Here is a 17,472-nt window from a genome sequence, read left to right as displayed (position 1 = left end):
TATATAAAATACAATATCCCTTTACACTTCATTAATTGTATTTTTTAAAAAAACTTATTCTTCAAACCCCAGTTTAGATGCCATTTTATTAATAAAAATTTCACTGACCCATTCTCAGAAACAATTACTCTGTTTCTTGTGCATTTCCCACTATAATTCAATTATCTATTTACATATAGCCTCTCTAGCTCTTGAATTTATGAAAATTATTCATCCAGCACAATGATACTACAATAATGTGTGTGTATGTGTATTTAATACACAAAGATTCTATTGGTTATATGGAACAAGACTTTTTAAAAGAAAACTGTAATACAGCCAAGTCCCAGAGAAGAGGGTACATTGGGAAAAATTAATCACCAGCATCAGAGATAAAAGTTGAGGTAAATTGCTGCATTTTTAGCTTTTTATAAGGAGCTGCAGATATTGACATGTGCCTTACTGGATCTATTCAAATTTGACTTTTTCCTCGAAAAGATATAAGAAATACAAATTGCTTAAAAAATTAGAATAGATTAAATGATTGTAATTGTCTATTGAATAACCATACATTAATTGATACAAAAAGAAACTTCAACTAAGAAACTCTGCCAGATGTGTGACCTTTCGCCATCTGGAAAATGTATAATTCAATTGTCAATATATTGAACTCAGTTAAACACATATCAAAAGCCTGGACTAATTATAGTTTCTTGATTTCATACCAAAGAAATAAAACAATGAGTTTGCATATTCTTCTAGAAAAATAGAGTTGGTAAGGAGTCCAGCTCCTAGTTAAAACCTGTGTGTTATTTTTCAGGCCTGGCCATAGGTGATTTCAAAAGCTTTACCTGGCAGATCACACAGGGAAGCTACCCTGTCTACACAGAGCGGGTGCACAGCTGGTTCCTGGCAGCCTCTGAGAAGAGTTGCCCTCAAGATCCCAGCCCTCCCTTGCCCGTTCTGTTCTTCCCATATTTACATTCCTTGCCTGGTAAGAACTTGCACTCCTAGGTCTCTTTTTCCGAGGCCTTGGGCAGGGGTCTTCAGATGCCTTTGTCTAGGCCTCATCATGGAGGGAGACGGGAGAAACATCAAGACACTTTTCTCTACTCTGACTTAACCTTCAACCTCACCCGCTTTCCCACATCCTGCCTCCCAGATTCCATAATTACTGTCACAGTCTTTTGTTCTGGGCTTCCTCAAAAATGAGATGGCCCCCAAGTCTGTGCTGTTTCATGAGGGAAAATGAAACAGGGTGAGTCAGTGTTTTCTCTGGTTTTAGACTCTTGCTTATACCATAGCAGGAGGTGACTAAAGGCTGAACTCTTTTATTTCTGTCTTGCTGCTTTAAATGGCTACTCTGACAGCTGATGCCTGCTCAGCTGAGTTATCCAGGTGGGATAACTCTTAAAACAAACAAAAATCGGCCGGGCGCGGTGGCTCACGCCTGTAATCCCAACACTTTGGGAGGCCGAGGCGGGCGGATCACGAGGTCAGGAGATCGAGACCATCCTGGCTAAAACGGGGAAACCCCGTCTCTACTAAAAATACAAAAAATTAGCCGGGCGTAGTGGCGGGCGCCTGTAGTCCCAGCTACTTGGGAGGCTGAGGCAGGAGAATGGCGTGAACCCGGGAGGCGGAGCTTGCAGTGAGCCGAGATCCCGCCACTGCACTCCAGCCTGGGCGACAGAGCGAGACTCCGTCTCAAAAAAAAAAAAAAAAAAATCCACAAGATGTAACAATATGCAGAAATTAATTAACATTTTGAAATGTCATGAAAAGATAGTGGTAACTGGCAGGGATATTTAAGTCAGAGGTTGATATATCATCCCCTCTTTATATGTAGGCCAAGGGCCGCATAGTAAGTATTCTCCAAGAGTAATGGCATTTTTTGTTCTTTCTTTAACCTTTAGCTATATTGAAATGAATTCTTTAGAACGCAGGATGTTCCCTCTTGACTTGATGAGGGATGCCTACCTTGCACTTGATGAAAAGGAAAACTACAAGGAGGCTAACATGGTAACAGGGCCTAGGATATGGGTATTCCTATCCATATTTGCAAAGCTTCTTAATTAGGCATTTACCTAAAGGTAAGTTAATTGATTATTAAAAAGTTTCTGCACTATATTTTGCAAATAACTCAAAGTAACTTTAAAAAGTCTTGAGGTTCTAAAATTATGAATAATTATATGGCAATATTCCAATATATATTTCATATATATTTTATGTATATAATAATATAATAGTATAATTATATATTATATAATATAATATTCCTATATATTAAGCATAGTCCAATATGCTTAACGTATATTTTTTGAAACATATATTTTATTCTTTTTATTTCAGTCTACATTTTTGTAGGATTGTGAGTTGTGGAAGTTTGTAGTTAAATTTTGGTCAATTGGAGGCAAGTCACAAGACGACAAAGACATACCAGAGAAAATGGGGCAATAATTATTGTTTGTAGGGGAATTTGTTTTTCTATTTAAAGGCTCGACTATAGCTTTTTTACTGATTTTACTCATACGTTAAGTGACATGAAATATATATAATATATAATAAATATAATATATAAGTATATATTTATAACAATAGATAATAAATATAATAGTAAATATAAAAATAATAAATAATATATTAAAATATATGAATATACATAAAAGTTCTGTTGCATCTCCATTATCTTCCCAAAGGATGAAGTGAACTTCCTAGCATGGCATTTGTAGCCCTTGAGCAGCTCCAAACTTCTTTCCATTCTCTTCTGCAAAACTGCCATAGATCAGTTTTTGCTAAAAGAATAAAGCGGTTATAAAATGAGGTTAAGTACTTTATTGTTACTAAGTCTTATTTTCATATCTCATTCATTCTTTTAGTAATCAATATCTGCTAATAATTTCTCCGACCTAGCTAAATACTATGTTGTAAATTACTAGGATGTCATTTTGATTTATGCAGTCATTCATTCAATTATTAATTCAGCAAGCATTTCTTAAACATGATTATTTACTAGGGACTCTGCCAGACATTGGATATATAAGGTAAACTAGAAAACTGATGTGATCCTTGTCTTTATGGGCAGGAGCATGTGTATTTGACCATGTATTTTCCCTACTTCTACCTACTACAGTTCCCTGCTCAAATATTTTATCTTCTATGAAACCATAACACTTTGCCAAATTCAGTGTGGTTCAGTTCTCTGTGTCTCATAGACTTGCTTCTGTCCTCTATTAAAACAAATCAAAACTCTATTTGTATCTGGTGTGGACATATACAATTGATATTTGTTTTTAAATGTTACTAGTAATAAAGCAATATAATGAGTATGGATACCAAATTAGTACCTATAATTTTTTTCTAATTTGATGCACAAAAAACAGTATAAAATAGGTTACATTTCAGTATTCATCTTGACACTTATATTTGATATTTAAGAACCTCTAATTATAAAAAGTTGTCTTTTTCCTATTTATTTAGACCCTAGATCTAGTGCTCAAAATAGATACATTTGCTTAGCCCTCTAGTTTTCTTTTTTCTCCCTTTCTCTTTTCCTTTTCTTTTTCTTTCTTTTTTTTTTTTCTGAGATAGAGTCTTACTTTGTCACCTAGGCTGGAGTGCAGTGGTGTGATCTCGGCTGACCGCAACCTCTGCATCCTAGGTCCAAGTGATTCTCTTGACTCAGCCTTCTGAGTAACTGGGATTATAGGCGTGTGCCACCATGCCCAGCTAATTTTTGTATTTTTAGTAGAGACTGGGTTTCACTATGTTGGACAGGCTGGTCTTCAACTCCTGACCTCAAGTGATCTGCCCACCTTGGCCTCCCAAAGTGCTGGAATTACAGGCATTAGCCACCGCGCCTAGCCTCACTTTCTTTTTTCTGTTTAAGTGTCCAGCCAATGAGTATCAGACAGCTATCTGCACACCTTTAATTTTCTCAGTCATGTCTGAATGTAGTGGATACTATGAAGGTAACTGAGTAGGACTGACATTTTGCCTTTCTCTCTGAGAATTTTGAAGGACAAATGTCAGTAGTCATTGCTTAGTTTTACTAGGGGTAATCAGGACCAAATAAATTATTAAGTCTGTGGTACATACTTAGGTATTGCTTCATATGACTAGCACAGATTCAGGAAACTGCATATTTATATTTAAAAGTTTTATTGTACATATAAGAATGCACAAAATTTTCATGAGCAAGGGATAAACACAATTATATCACACATGTTCTACAGGGATCAGTCTCTCTTTTTTATCCTTTATTGTTTTGTTCTTCTCCTTCCAACCAATATCTTTTCCAGTCTCCTTTAGTTAACCAGTTAAATCAAGTTGCCAACTTAGAAAACATCCTTTCTTATTCTTCTTTAGAGCCACCAAATACACACCCTCAGAATCTTGCTTTTCTCACTCAATAATACTTTGTGAAATATTTTCAAGTCAGCTGGGATATTTCTCAAAAATTTTTGTTAATGGTTGGTGACATTTTATGGCAAGAATATAATGTAACAATGTTAAACAATTACTCTACTAACAGGCATTCCATATTTCTTTTGCTGTTTGTTTTTCATCACTGGAAGCAATACTATAATAAGCAACTTTTTAATGTACAACCTTACCTACTCATAGCTTTACTTTAGCAGATAGGTTTACTGCATTGAGAAATACATATATGCCTATATACACACATATACACACAGTAATATATGTGCATTTGTGTGTACATATATATATTGCCCCATATTGCTTTCATAAAAGGTCAAAACAGTTCACATTTCCATCAGCAGTGCATGTGAACGATTTTCCAAAAACATTTCTTTAAGGAATATGTATACCAAGTTACCACATAGACAAAATTTGAAAATTTCTTTATAACAGCATTATTTTAAATGTAGTGATTATCTTCAGTGTTGCAGATGCTTAGGTGTAACACTTAACAAGACCGTCATGATCCCTGCATTTATAGAGCTTACAGGTAAATGGCGGAGAGCAACAATTAACGGTATGATACACTAATGATAAGGAAAGTACAGTATCATTAGAAAAAAATGCAGGAGTGATGTCTACCATGGACTTCAGAATCAAGGAACATATGAAAGTGACATGTATCTCAAGGTCTGAAAGATGAGTAATAATTACAGAGGCAAGGTATGGGGACAAGTATCCCAAGGAGAGAAATAGGGACAGTCTTAATTTATGTGTTGCTATAAACTAATAACTCAGGCTGGGTAATTTATAAAGAAAAGCGGTTTATTTGACTTACAGTTTTGCAGGCTGTACAAGAAGCCTGACACCAACATCTGCTTCTGGCAGGGGCCTCAGGAACATTACGGTCATGGTGGAAGGTGTAGCCCACTATATGGGGAGCCCACTATATGGTGATGGCAGAAAGCAAGCTAGAAAGGTCCAGGTACCAGACTCTTTTCAATAACCAGTTCCCCTGGGAACTAAAAGTGAAAACTTACTAACTCCACTGGGAATGTCATTAAGCCGTTCATGAGAGATCCATCTCCATGATACAAGCACTCCCACCAAGCCCTGCACCCAACATTGGGGATCAGATTTCAACATGAGACTGGGCTGTGTAAAACAAACATATCCAAACCATAACAGTAACCTAGAGAACCGAAAAAGCAAAACGGAGCAACTTCAGGTATCATAAAAAAGCTCAGTGCAGAATCTTAGAATTAGAAAGTGGAAAGTGGAAACAAATGAGACTGGATAGCAAGAAAAGCATGAGATAATGAAGAATATTGCAGTATTAGACATGCTAAGAACATCCTGTGACAGCAAAAGGCTAATAATGGTTTAATATATGTATTAATATAATTGAATATTGTATTTTTAAGCAGTCACCCTATTAGACCCTGATCTTTGTACTGGACATTTGGAATTCATCTGATATTTAATGCTCAATATTTAAATTTTATATTTTTCCTGGGCTCCTATTTGGGTGTCAGGAATACTCTTCTGTTTAGATCCAAGCTATTTAAAATTTTGGTAATACATCTTTCCTAGTTTTGATTGATCTTTGTAAAATGTTCGTAATATCATTAAATATTTTATGTAATTCCATGTTATTTTATTTATTATTTGTATCATTATGTCATTGGAAAAAAATTGCACCAGTGTTAGAGGTCATAAAGATACCAATTAATTCAAACTCATGGAGTTTCTACTACAAAGCTGTCTCCTTTCCATCAAAGGACCAAGAAGAAATTCAGTGGGAAGACATATATTTAGGACCTTCTACTGTGATGCAAGTTAAAGGTTAGCATAATAGTACTTTTTGAAGTCAGGTAGCGTGATGCCTTCAGCTTTGTTCTTTTGGCTTAGGATTGACTTGGCGATGCGGGCTCTTTTTTGGTGCCATATGAACTTTAAAGTAGTTTTTTCCAATTCTGTGAAGAAAGTCATTGGTAGCTTGATGAAGATGGCATTGAATCTATAAATTACCTTGGGCAGTATGGCCATTTTCACGATATTGATTCTTCCTACCCATGAGCATGGAATGTTCTTCCATTTGTTTGTATCCTCTTTTATTTCATTGAGCAGTGGTTTGTAGTTCTCCTTGAAGAGGTCCTTCACGTCCCTTGTAAGTTGGATTCCTAGGTATTTTATTCTCTTTGAAGCAATTGTGAATGGGAGTTCACTCATGATTTGGCTCTCTGTTTGTCTATTATTGGTGTATAAGAATGCTTGTGATTTTTGTACATTGATTTTGTATCCTGAGACTTTACTGAAGTTGCTTATCAGCTTAAGGAGATTTTGGGCTGAGACAATGGGGTTTTCTAGATATACAATCATGTCATCTGCAAACAGGGACAATTTGACTTCCTCTTTTCCGAATTGAATACCCTTTATTTCCTTCTCTTGCCTAATTGCCCTGGCCAGAACTTCCAACACTATGTTGAATAGGAGTGGTGAGAGAGGGCATCCCTGTCAAACTATACTAGAAGGCTACAGTAACCAAAACAGCATGGTACTGGTACCAAAACAGAGATATAGATCAATGGAACAGAACAGAGCCCTCAGAAATAACGCCGCATATCTACAGCTATCTGATCTTTGACAAACCTGAGAAAAACAAGCAATGGGGAAAGGATTCCCTATTTAATAAATAGTGCTGGGAAAACTGGCTAGCAATATGTAGAAAGCTGAAACTGGATCCCTTCCTTACACCTTATACAAAAATCAATTCAAGATGGATTAAAGACTTAAACATTAGACCTAAAACCATAAAAACCCTAGAAGAAAACCTAGGCATTACCATTCAGGACATAGGCATGGGCAAGGACTTCATGTCTAAAACACCAAAAGCAATGGCAACAAAAGCCAAAATTGACTAATGGGATCTAATTAAAGTAAAGAGCTTCTGCACAGCAAAAGAAACTACCATCAGAGTGAACAGGCAACCCACAAAATGGGAGAAAATTTTCCAACCTACTCATCTGACAAAGGGCTAATATCCAGAATCTACAATGAACTCAAAGAAATTTACAAGAAAAAAGCAAACAACCCCATCAAAAAGTGGGCAAAGGATATGAACAGACACTTCTCAAAAGAAGACATTTATGCAGTCAAAAAACACTTGCAAAAATGCTCACCATCACTGGCTATCAGAGAAATGCAAATCAAAACCACAATGAGATAGCATCTCACACCAGTTAGAATGGCAATCATTCAAAAGTCAGGAAACAACAGGTGCTAGAGAGGATGTGGAGAAATAGGAACACTTTTACACTGTTGGTGGGACTGTAAACTAGTTCAACCATTGTGGAAGTCAGTGTGGCGATTCCTTAGGGATCTAGAACTAGACATACCATTTGACCCAGCCATCCCATTACTGGGTATATACCCAAAGGACTATAAATCATGCTGCTATAAAGACACATGCACACGTATGTTTATTGCGGCACTATTCACAATAGCAAAGACTTGGAACCAAGCCAAATGTCCAACAATTATAGACTGGATTAAGAAAATGTGGCACATATACACCATGGAATACTATGCAGCCATAAAAAATGATGAGTTCATATCCTTTGTAGGGACATGTATGAAATTGGAAATCATCATTCTCAGTAAACTATCACAAGAACAAAAACCCAAACACCGCATGTTCTCACTCATAGGTGGGAATTGAACAATGAGAACACATGAACACAGGAAGGGGAACATCACACTCTGGGGACTGTTGTGGGGTGGGGGGAGGGGGGAGGGATAGCTTTAGGAGATATACCTAATGCTAAATGACGAGTTAATGGGTGCAGCACACCAGCATGGCACATGTATACATATGTAACTAACCTGCACATTGTGCACATGTACCCTAAAACTTAAAGTATAATAATAATAAAATAAAAAAATAGTACTTTTTGAAAAGTACTTTTAAAATGTTGTTAATCATTATTATTATAATGCTTGTTATATCAGACTATCTTTAAAATGTAGTTGACAAAATTAATTGAAATGCCATTGAGGCATGTTTTTAAGATACTTAACCTTTTCTTCAGACATAAACTAATTCCTTGTTTTTATTGAGAAAGCCAAGTCTATGTTGGCTGTCTCACCAGCAGCAGATCTTGGGGAAACAGAATAGATATACCACTGCTTTAAAAGCAATAGAGAGATAATTTAATACCACAGTACAGTTAGAATCTAAAGCCCCAAAATATTATGTGTATGCAAAATAGGAGAAATTTCTATAATTTTTATTTGGTTTTTACACAAATAATGGCACACTCTCTATGTTTTTTGTGTGTCTTTCACTTTATAGCATACCTTAGAAATCCTTTCATAATAATACATAAAGAGCTACCTTTTCCCCACTTTTAGCAGATATATTATTTTTCATCATGCAAGAGTCTCACAATTTAATTTTTTACCTCTTATTGATAGATTCAGTTTCTTTTAAATTCTTTGCTAATATAGACAGTGCCTTGATGAGAAACCTTTTACATTTTGCACACATTTTGCACATATGTAAGCATATGTGTAGGCTGATTTTCTAAACTACAATTGCTGGTATATTTATAAATACTGTCTAATTACTCTCCATCGATAGTCTACTTTTAGATTTTTATCATTTTGCTATCTGAGAAATGGTACCTCTGGGCAAAATTAATTTGCATTTCACTTATAATGACTGATCTCCTGCCCTGCATTTTCTATGACTTTTCTTATATTCTTCACCTATTTTCTATTGGCTGTCAGTCTTCTTTTTACCATTTTTCAGGAACTATTAATTTATTATAGACTTTAGCCGTTTGCTTTTAGAATTATTTTTCCCTCCTTTTGTTATTAGTTTCTACATCTTGTATATGATGGCATGTGGTCAGGCAGAAATTCTATTTATTTTTAATTTTGATGAAGCCATAGTTAGATGAACACAATTATTTGATGTATTATTTTCGTACAAGTCACAATTCTGCTGTTAAAATTTTCAGAGTTAAGTGAAATGAAAGATGAACCCAATAAAATGATATAACAATGTGGTATATGATAAGGTAGAGGGGAGTAAAAAGTGTTATACAAGTGTAGCTCTGCCCCAGCTATGAAATCTGATATAATCATTAATATTTTACCCAACATACCTATAAAATAATATTATTGTACACTTTACACTAAAGTTTTACCTAGCTAATAAAAATATTCTCAGGTTGATTTTTTCTTCCTTATATAATTGCAGTCGCCTCAAGAATAAGCATGCACTGTTTTACTTTAATGCCCTCAGAGAGTGAATGTCATATTTAACTTTAAACAAATGTATTGACTGAATTTATGTCATCTTTGAAAATTTGTTTCCATTCTAAGACTTGGGATTTTCTATTCGATACCTACCAAATAAATAAGTCAGATAGAAGGAACTTAGATCCCTTGAATCAGAGATCTATGTAGTAGAAGAATTTATGGTAGCATTAGTCCAATTGTTATGACAAAGAAATGTGTGCCAAAGGGAAGATGATAGCCATGTAAAGTCTATCTCTGTTGATTCAGTACAAGCTTCTGAATTTGCCCAATAGTATCATGCATTAGTGAGTATTCTCCAGAGAAACACAATCAATAGAATATACGTAGATCTACTAGAAGAGATTTATGTTGGAAATTGGCTCATGAAATCATGGCAATTGAGATTCCCCAGGATCTTCTGTCTGTAAGCTGGAGAACCAGAGAAACTGGTTATGTAATTCAGTCACAGTCTGAAGGACTGAGAACCAGAGGAGACAATTGTTAAACTCCCAGACTAAGGCTGAATGCCTGATAACTTGGGGTACTGGTAGTGTTAAGTCCTGGAATCCAGCAGTCTTAGAATCAGGAGGTCTGATGTCCAAGGACAGAAGATGGATGTACTAGCTCAAGAAGAGAAAGGGGGAATTTGCTTTGCCTCAATCTTTTTGTTCTATTTAAGTGGGCCCTCAATGGATTGGATGATACCCATCCACATGGGGGAAGGTGATCTTTACTCAGTCTAGTGATTCAAAGATTAATCTCTTCCAAAAACACCTCACAGACACACTCAGAAATAATGTTTTAGAGATATCTGGGTATCTTTTAACCCAGTGAATGTGACACATAAAATTAATCATCACAAATGGCAACAGTGCCATCTGTATTTTTGGCATATATATAGCATTGAATTCTTCAACCACCAACATATCCTATGTACACTTCTGAATTTGTCCATTCAAGCAGATGCTGCCTCTGTTTCAGACTGAGATATATCAGTCTGTAGAGTAAATTGCTGCATTAAGGATAACCATTGCAAAGAAAAATAGTGACAAATTTAAAGAGATTACCATTCAGTAAGAATAAACCATGTCCCACATTATTTATTCTATTTCTACTTTTACAATGATCTTAAAAGTTCGTCAAATAAAACTGAGTCATAAATAGTAGATACCAGGCTTAATTTAACTTAGTCTGTAATAGAGCTGGAATTCACGTCTATGTCGTTCTGGTTTTAAAACCATTTTTTCATCACACCATGAATTCACCAGGACTTTTTCACTGAGTTAGGATTTAACAGTGTTCATTCAAGTTTTCTAGATTAAATTTCAAAATGATGTGATTGGACCCAATTCTACATTTTCAAACAATAGTAACAGAAGACATTATTAATTATATTTTTTGCTTCTATTTGTATAATTAAAAAATACATAATTTCCTCAATGTATGCATTCCTCTAAAAATGTCCTTCTTGAAGTTTTGAATCAAGCAGGATTTTACATAAAATATAACCCATTCAGATGATTTAAATAAAGGTAATTTAAAGATCGGACTGGGTAAAGATGTAGCAGTATTAAAAAAAGAAGGAGACATTACACCACTTTTTGAGAATCAGAGTGAAAATGAGGAAATGGTGAGAGCTGGAGCCAAGGGCGAGAGGCTACTAGGAAGTAAACTCACGGCACAGTGTACTCCAGCCAGAGAAATAACTCTAAATAGAGATGGGGCTGGGAAGAAATGTTATCAAATCTCACCTTTCTTATTTCACTGACTCTCAGTAGCCAACCCTAACTATGAACTAGCTGGTCAGGGAGCTCATATGAAGCAGTCTGTTGGTTTCGACCTCCTAATGTATAGAGCAGGACAAAGATGGGTGGAGACCAGACAGGAGAGAATGTGCAGAAAGAGGAGGAATCAAATTAAAAAAAAAACCATTTCAATCTTTAACACTGATGACAAAGATATGTGTAAAAATACTCCTTGTCTGCATTGGATAGTAAAAAACTTACAAATAAAAATTCTTTACCTAACTGTAATAATTTAAATTATCTCAGCTATTCTCTAACATACATTCTTCTGCATTTCTTAATTTTGCTTTTTTCTTCTAAGTAACAATTTTGTGATGCATTGAATTTAGAAAATTTTGTGACACTAAAAATGCAAGATATAAAGAAAAACTAATAATATAAAATTAAAAAGATAATATAAATGATATACATAATATAAAGCTAATAGTATAAATTGCACAACAAAACAAATATTAAATATTTTTCACAGATAATACAAAATACAAATATAATTAATATTAAAAATACACATTTTGTGTATATTAGAAAATTATAAAAGTAAATGTATGATCCTCATAACTGGTAAAATAGTAATCACTGTCTTTCTTTTTCTACTTCACAAACTGAATATTTTTAGCAAATGTTGCTGAAATAAAACCACTAGATGACAACACATTAACTTGAACATATTTAATGACCTCTAAGAGATGCAAAAGGCAACCATAGACTGCTAAAGATGAAGGCACAAATCCAGTTGTTTTTACTGATGAGGAAATTGAGGTCCAAACATTTTATATAACTCGTCCAAGTGTCAGATTAAGATTAGAACCTAGATCTTTTGGTTGTTCTGTTCTTTGCCTTAAGCCCAGGAGACTTCTCATGTGCAAAGTGCATTTTCAAATTCTGGCTTTACATAAAGAACTTTAACAAGGACCCACAGCATCAGGGCACATCTTAGATTAGTGTACTGTCTGTAGTTTATTATGACAGAGACTTACAACAATTGTGGAAAGGTTTCAAAACACAAGACTACAACAGGCCTTCTTAAGCCATAGTGAAGTGTTTGGTCTTATCTTAAAGGCAATGAATAGTCTTTGATGGGTTCCAAATAGTGTAATAATATGACCATTTCTGCATTTTAGAATGCACATTTTAATGCTTCTGTATGAAGAAATATTGTGAAGGGATAAGGCTGGAGGTGGGGATTCAGATGAAAGAAAATAAATGCTTAATGGGGTAAAAAAAAAGTCATATTTGAGAATAATTAAATGCACAGAATTGACATGACTTGTTAATTGATTGGGTGGGAGAACTAAAAGAAAAGGGATAAAGTATACCTCCATATTTATGGATTAAAAAACTGGGTGGGTAGTGGTTATCATTGACTGAAATTGGAAATGAACTAGTATATGTAAGTGTGAGCAGAAGACAATTCGATTCTAGATATGTCAAAGTGTAGTGGCTGCAGGTTATCTACGTAGGCATTAGGTTTGGGATAAAAATGTAGAATTTTCAGTCATTTGCATATACCTCTGAAGCCTTTAAACCAATAAATGATTTTAGAAAACTCCTGAAAAACCTGAAATGGTAAACAATAGGTAATGTATGTGTTTATGCACCTCTCTAGAAGAAAGTTGGTAATTTTTATTAGATTATAAAAAGATTCTCTTCTGCATATGGCTAGCCAGTTATGCAAGCACCAGTCACCTGTACAAACAAACCCCCATAACACAAGATAACCTATATAACAAACCTGTCCATATACCCCTGAACTTAAAATAAAACTTAAAAAAAATAGCTAGTAGTAGCAATGAGAAAAGGAAAATGTCCATAGTCATGGAAGATATTAAAATAATTATAAGAAAAAAAAAAGATTCTCTAGCACACTAGTGCTTTCCGAAGTCTTGCCAAAGAATGAAATCATTATAATCTAGGGAAAGTTAACACATGAAAAAGGAGTGACTATATTACATTTCTTGGACTAAGTTTTTTTCTTCATATTGAATGGTATATTCTAAAGCCACTGAATTGCTGAGTAATAGCAATTTTCCTCAGCAGGAACATTAATATGCTTTTGATTCTATCCAGATTTAGATATTTTTAAAATTTGTGGTCCACAAAATGCCAGAGACAATGTTATAAAGTGTTCTCTACTTTATATAATTCAGAACGCTTCTCAACCAAGACACTGGAAAAAAGTAACTCCCTCATGACATAAGTGTAATGTTTTTAGAGTATGTTTTAAAAATATTATAACTGAACTTTTCCAAAAGTAGCTCACTGATATGTCAATGTACTACTTGTATGGGTGTGAGTACAACAGAGAGATGTCTTATGGAAGAAAAGCCCTAAATTATGTACATAGAAATCCCATATTTATTTAGACTTCTATCAATTACTCTTATCAGAGAAATGAATCATCATCCTATTTCCCATGATAGTAAATTAGAAAAAATAGAAAGAGAACATTTAAATTTAAGTATATACTGTTGCTCACCTGCAACATTGAAGTCAATTCCAATTCTCCACTCCCCCAAGGTAGTGGAAAACATACTCCAGTTTTCAGTTTCACAAACTAATTTTTGAAATGTTCTTTATATAAGATATCTTTGATGCTTTTTCAAATGACACATAGGCTAAAATATTTCAATTCAATATTGATATTTTAAACCTTGAAAATAGTTTGCATAGCTCCTATAGTTCCCATCACAGGAAGGTATTTTCTGGATTGTGTGTGTATTTAGTAAGTGAAAAAGAAGTGCGATATTAAAAAATTGTACATTAAAATATTTCAATCCAAATATCTTAAATTTATTGATAAAGAAAGATATCATCTCTGACATACTGGAAATGAAATAATTTTAAGAATAAGAATGGTGGCTGGAAGAATAGCATTTTACTTCACTCTATTACTTAGTCTTTGTTAACCTGTTAATAAAATACCAATGCAGGCACAAATAAATGATGAAAATAACTAATATTAAGGTTTACACTCAAACAATTGTCAGAATTAAGGAAGAATTTCCCTTGACTACAAGAGATAAAGAACTATAATAACTGGCTGTTGTTAGCATATTGTCTGCTGTTTGAGAGTAAACTGCTTTTTCTGATGATAAAGCAGTATCTCCTTCCTTCCCAATTATCTATACTCTTACTTAAAGAGTAACCATCCAAAAAATTGAGGTGCTGACCCTGTACAATGGGAGCTTATTCTAGTACTGCCTTTACTATTTTTCTTTCTGTATATATAAAGTAGAAATAAAATGTACATTGAGATTATCCTGTGTTCTAGACAGTGTGTTCCTCACTAGCAATGGCGAACACAACATAGGTTCTGGTTTCATAGACATGATAGCTTAAAGCTTGATACAGACAAGTAAACAAGTAATTGTAATGTTATTTTGAATGTTATGGTATCAGTAAGTTGGTAAGTGTTGTGGGAGTATTCATTCAGGAAGCATATAACCCACTCTTTGGGACTTCTCAGAGAAACGACTGTCTAAATCTCAACTTTATCTTATGTAATTGGGTAACCATTGAATGGTTTTAGGCAGAGCAGAAATATAATCAAACGTGTTCTTACAAAAGATCTTACAAAAGTTCTTACAAAAGTGTGTTACCAATTCATGCAATACCAGTACCTCTGTCTACAGTCATATGGAGTTCAATTCTCAATATTGCAACCTGACTAGCAACAGAAAAAGATAAGGCAGCAATTCTTAGATTCCAGGTATGTGGGGTCAATGCCAGGAAGAATTTTGGTTCTAACTATTAAGAAAATAACATTGCTACCTAGAATTTCAGTTAGGATTATATTTAATCTCATATCTAGGATAACCATATGTTCTGGTTTGTCTAGGACAGCTGGTTGCTGTCAGTTGTCCTTTAGACCCCAAATCTGTGGTCATGTTTATAAAACTGAAATAATTATGGAGTAAAGTAAATACATGCTCCATTCTGAGTCAATTCAGAAATCAGAAATGAAATCAGACATTTTAACATGAGACAATTTACTACAAAACTGTTTTAACCATGGTATCACAAAGATAATAATTGTAGGTGACAACTGAAATCCTTAGGACTGGATAATCAAAGGGAACAGACTGAAATGATTGAAATTTAGTAACTTGGAGAAGGCTCCCCGTGAAGATGAATACCAGATTTCTGAGGAGTGGGTGCTGAGCAGTAGGTGCTAGTGTTTCTGAGGACCTGTGATGGAACTGATTCTACAAATGTTGGGAAAAATGCAAATTCGGTTCAATTGCTGAAGCTATTAGAGCAAAATTTTTCCCAAATATTAAAAAGCTGGGCCTGGGTGAAGCTGACAGGAGCAGAAAGTAGGCAGAAAGCTCCAGGGAAATTCTCTAGCCCTGCAGTCGTCCTCTAGCTCCACCTATTGGCAGAGCCTAACTGGCAATGCGGATGGGCAAGTGAGAAATGTGGTTTGCACCTGGAGCCCCAAAACTGCATGCTCATTTACTGCTCATTTATTGGTACACTGGAAAATGCTTATAAAGAAAAATGAAGACTATTTTTAAGTTGATTTTTAAATTTTGGCCTATGTAGGTAAAGATATCAGAATATCAGAAAAATTAACTTTGTTTTTCTTCAAAGTCTGTCTTAATGTACATTATTTTAAAAGGAATATAGAGTAAATTAAATATTAGATTGGATATTACTACACAAATAAATATCTTTTATATGATACCTGAAGGCATTTACTTTCACTAATATACTTAGTCTATTTCTTCATATGTGAAATAAGTTGGCTTAAGTGTAATAGATAGATCCACATAAACATTCTGTTTTTGCAAAATTAAAGTTTGCTGTGCTGTTTTTACTGCACACAGACACACATAGATATGCATTTAGGTATACCGTTAGTAAAGATGATTGAATTTTCACCTTATTTGCAAGCATGGCCATGTTTCTTACTTTGCATGTCCTTCAGGCCTCATCGGAGCACAAAGTTCCAAGTGACTTCAAAGGGTTTTCTGTACTTGGAGCAGCTCTATGGGACATGGAAGATGAGAAATGAACCGACACCAGAGGTGCAATGAAAGGTAAAACTCATAGCATCACCACAGCTCTTAGGTAAGTGGCAGCCTAAATTACTGCATCTGGATATATGAATCTTATGGGTTCATGATGGAAAAGATGACAAGCATTAAGGCCAAAAATAAATCTGAGTTTGTTCACTGGATGCAGGAAAAGTTTTCCTAACCAAATAATGTGGGTAACATTTCATTATTAGCATGGAAATATGTCCACTTTCATGTTTAGAGAAGGAAATAGTAAATGAATGATCAAACATAAAAGCAAAATACAGCATTCACAGTAGGTATCCAATGTAACATGCTATTTAGATAAAAACAGTCCCTTCAAAGTCCAGTATGTTTTTAAAAGCCTGATATTTACAGTTGTATGATTTCTAGGGAAATTGAGAAATTAAATATATATCCAGCAACATACAGAAGAAACTCTGTATATCCATTTGTACCAGCCTCTCTTCTCTCTAAAAGATTGGCCTTCGGAAAGTGAAGGAAGATTGGATTCAGACACTATGTCCTCTTACACAAATTGTTGCAATAACTTGTCATAAACAGGAAAATATAAAATTAAATGCAATGTTTATATACATATAAATGTTAAAAAGAGCACAATATTACAAAATTAGGTGGTTTATATTTTAGGTAGATTGTATGTGTACTTGATAAAATATTATAAAATTTGCATTTTTGTTAACTTAATTCTTTGAATAATTGTGATTTGATATTAATCAATCTGAAATTTTTTCTCCAGGATTTAAGATGTTTATTCTCTCTTAATTTAAGTATCAATTTAAGTATTTGCACTTGTGGACTTTATTTCTTTTTATTTTCATGAAGATTCCCACCTTACAAATATCACTTTCAGGGTTCTTAGGGATCATATTATTATTTTACAATTTATTGAAAATGGCATGAGGTTAGATATCATC

The 17,472-nt window shown here is 34.4% G+C and overlaps 1 long non-coding RNA gene across 5 annotated transcripts in view; it reads right to left on the bottom strand.

Annotated features, from left to right (window-relative positions):
* Positions 1–2,641: 2,641 nt before the first annotated feature.
* LOC105379100 (uncharacterized) overlaps positions 2,642–17,472 on the bottom strand; it is a 45,227-nt gene continuing 30,396 nt past the window's right edge. For 3 of the 5 annotated variants that reach the window (XR_007058886.1, XR_007058885.1, XR_948622.3), the window contains 2 exons: positions 16,398–16,503; positions 2,696–2,774 (listed from right to left, as the gene is read on the bottom strand). This is a non-coding gene — a long non-coding RNA (uncharacterized LOC105379100). Of the gene's footprint in view, positions 2,775–16,397; positions 16,504–17,472 lie in introns of all 5 variants that reach the window. The other 2 variants (XR_948624.3, XR_007058888.1) reach the window with 1 other exon arrangement.

Source organism: Homo sapiens, chromosome 5 (genome assembly GCF_000001405.40).
Source record: "Homo sapiens chromosome 5, GRCh38.p14 Primary Assembly".
In the NCBI taxonomy this organism is placed as follows: domain Eukaryota; kingdom Metazoa; phylum Chordata; class Mammalia; order Primates; family Hominidae; genus Homo; species Homo sapiens.
Note: the sequence above shows the minus strand (reverse complement) of the source record. Positions and strands in the feature narration are given on the sequence as shown.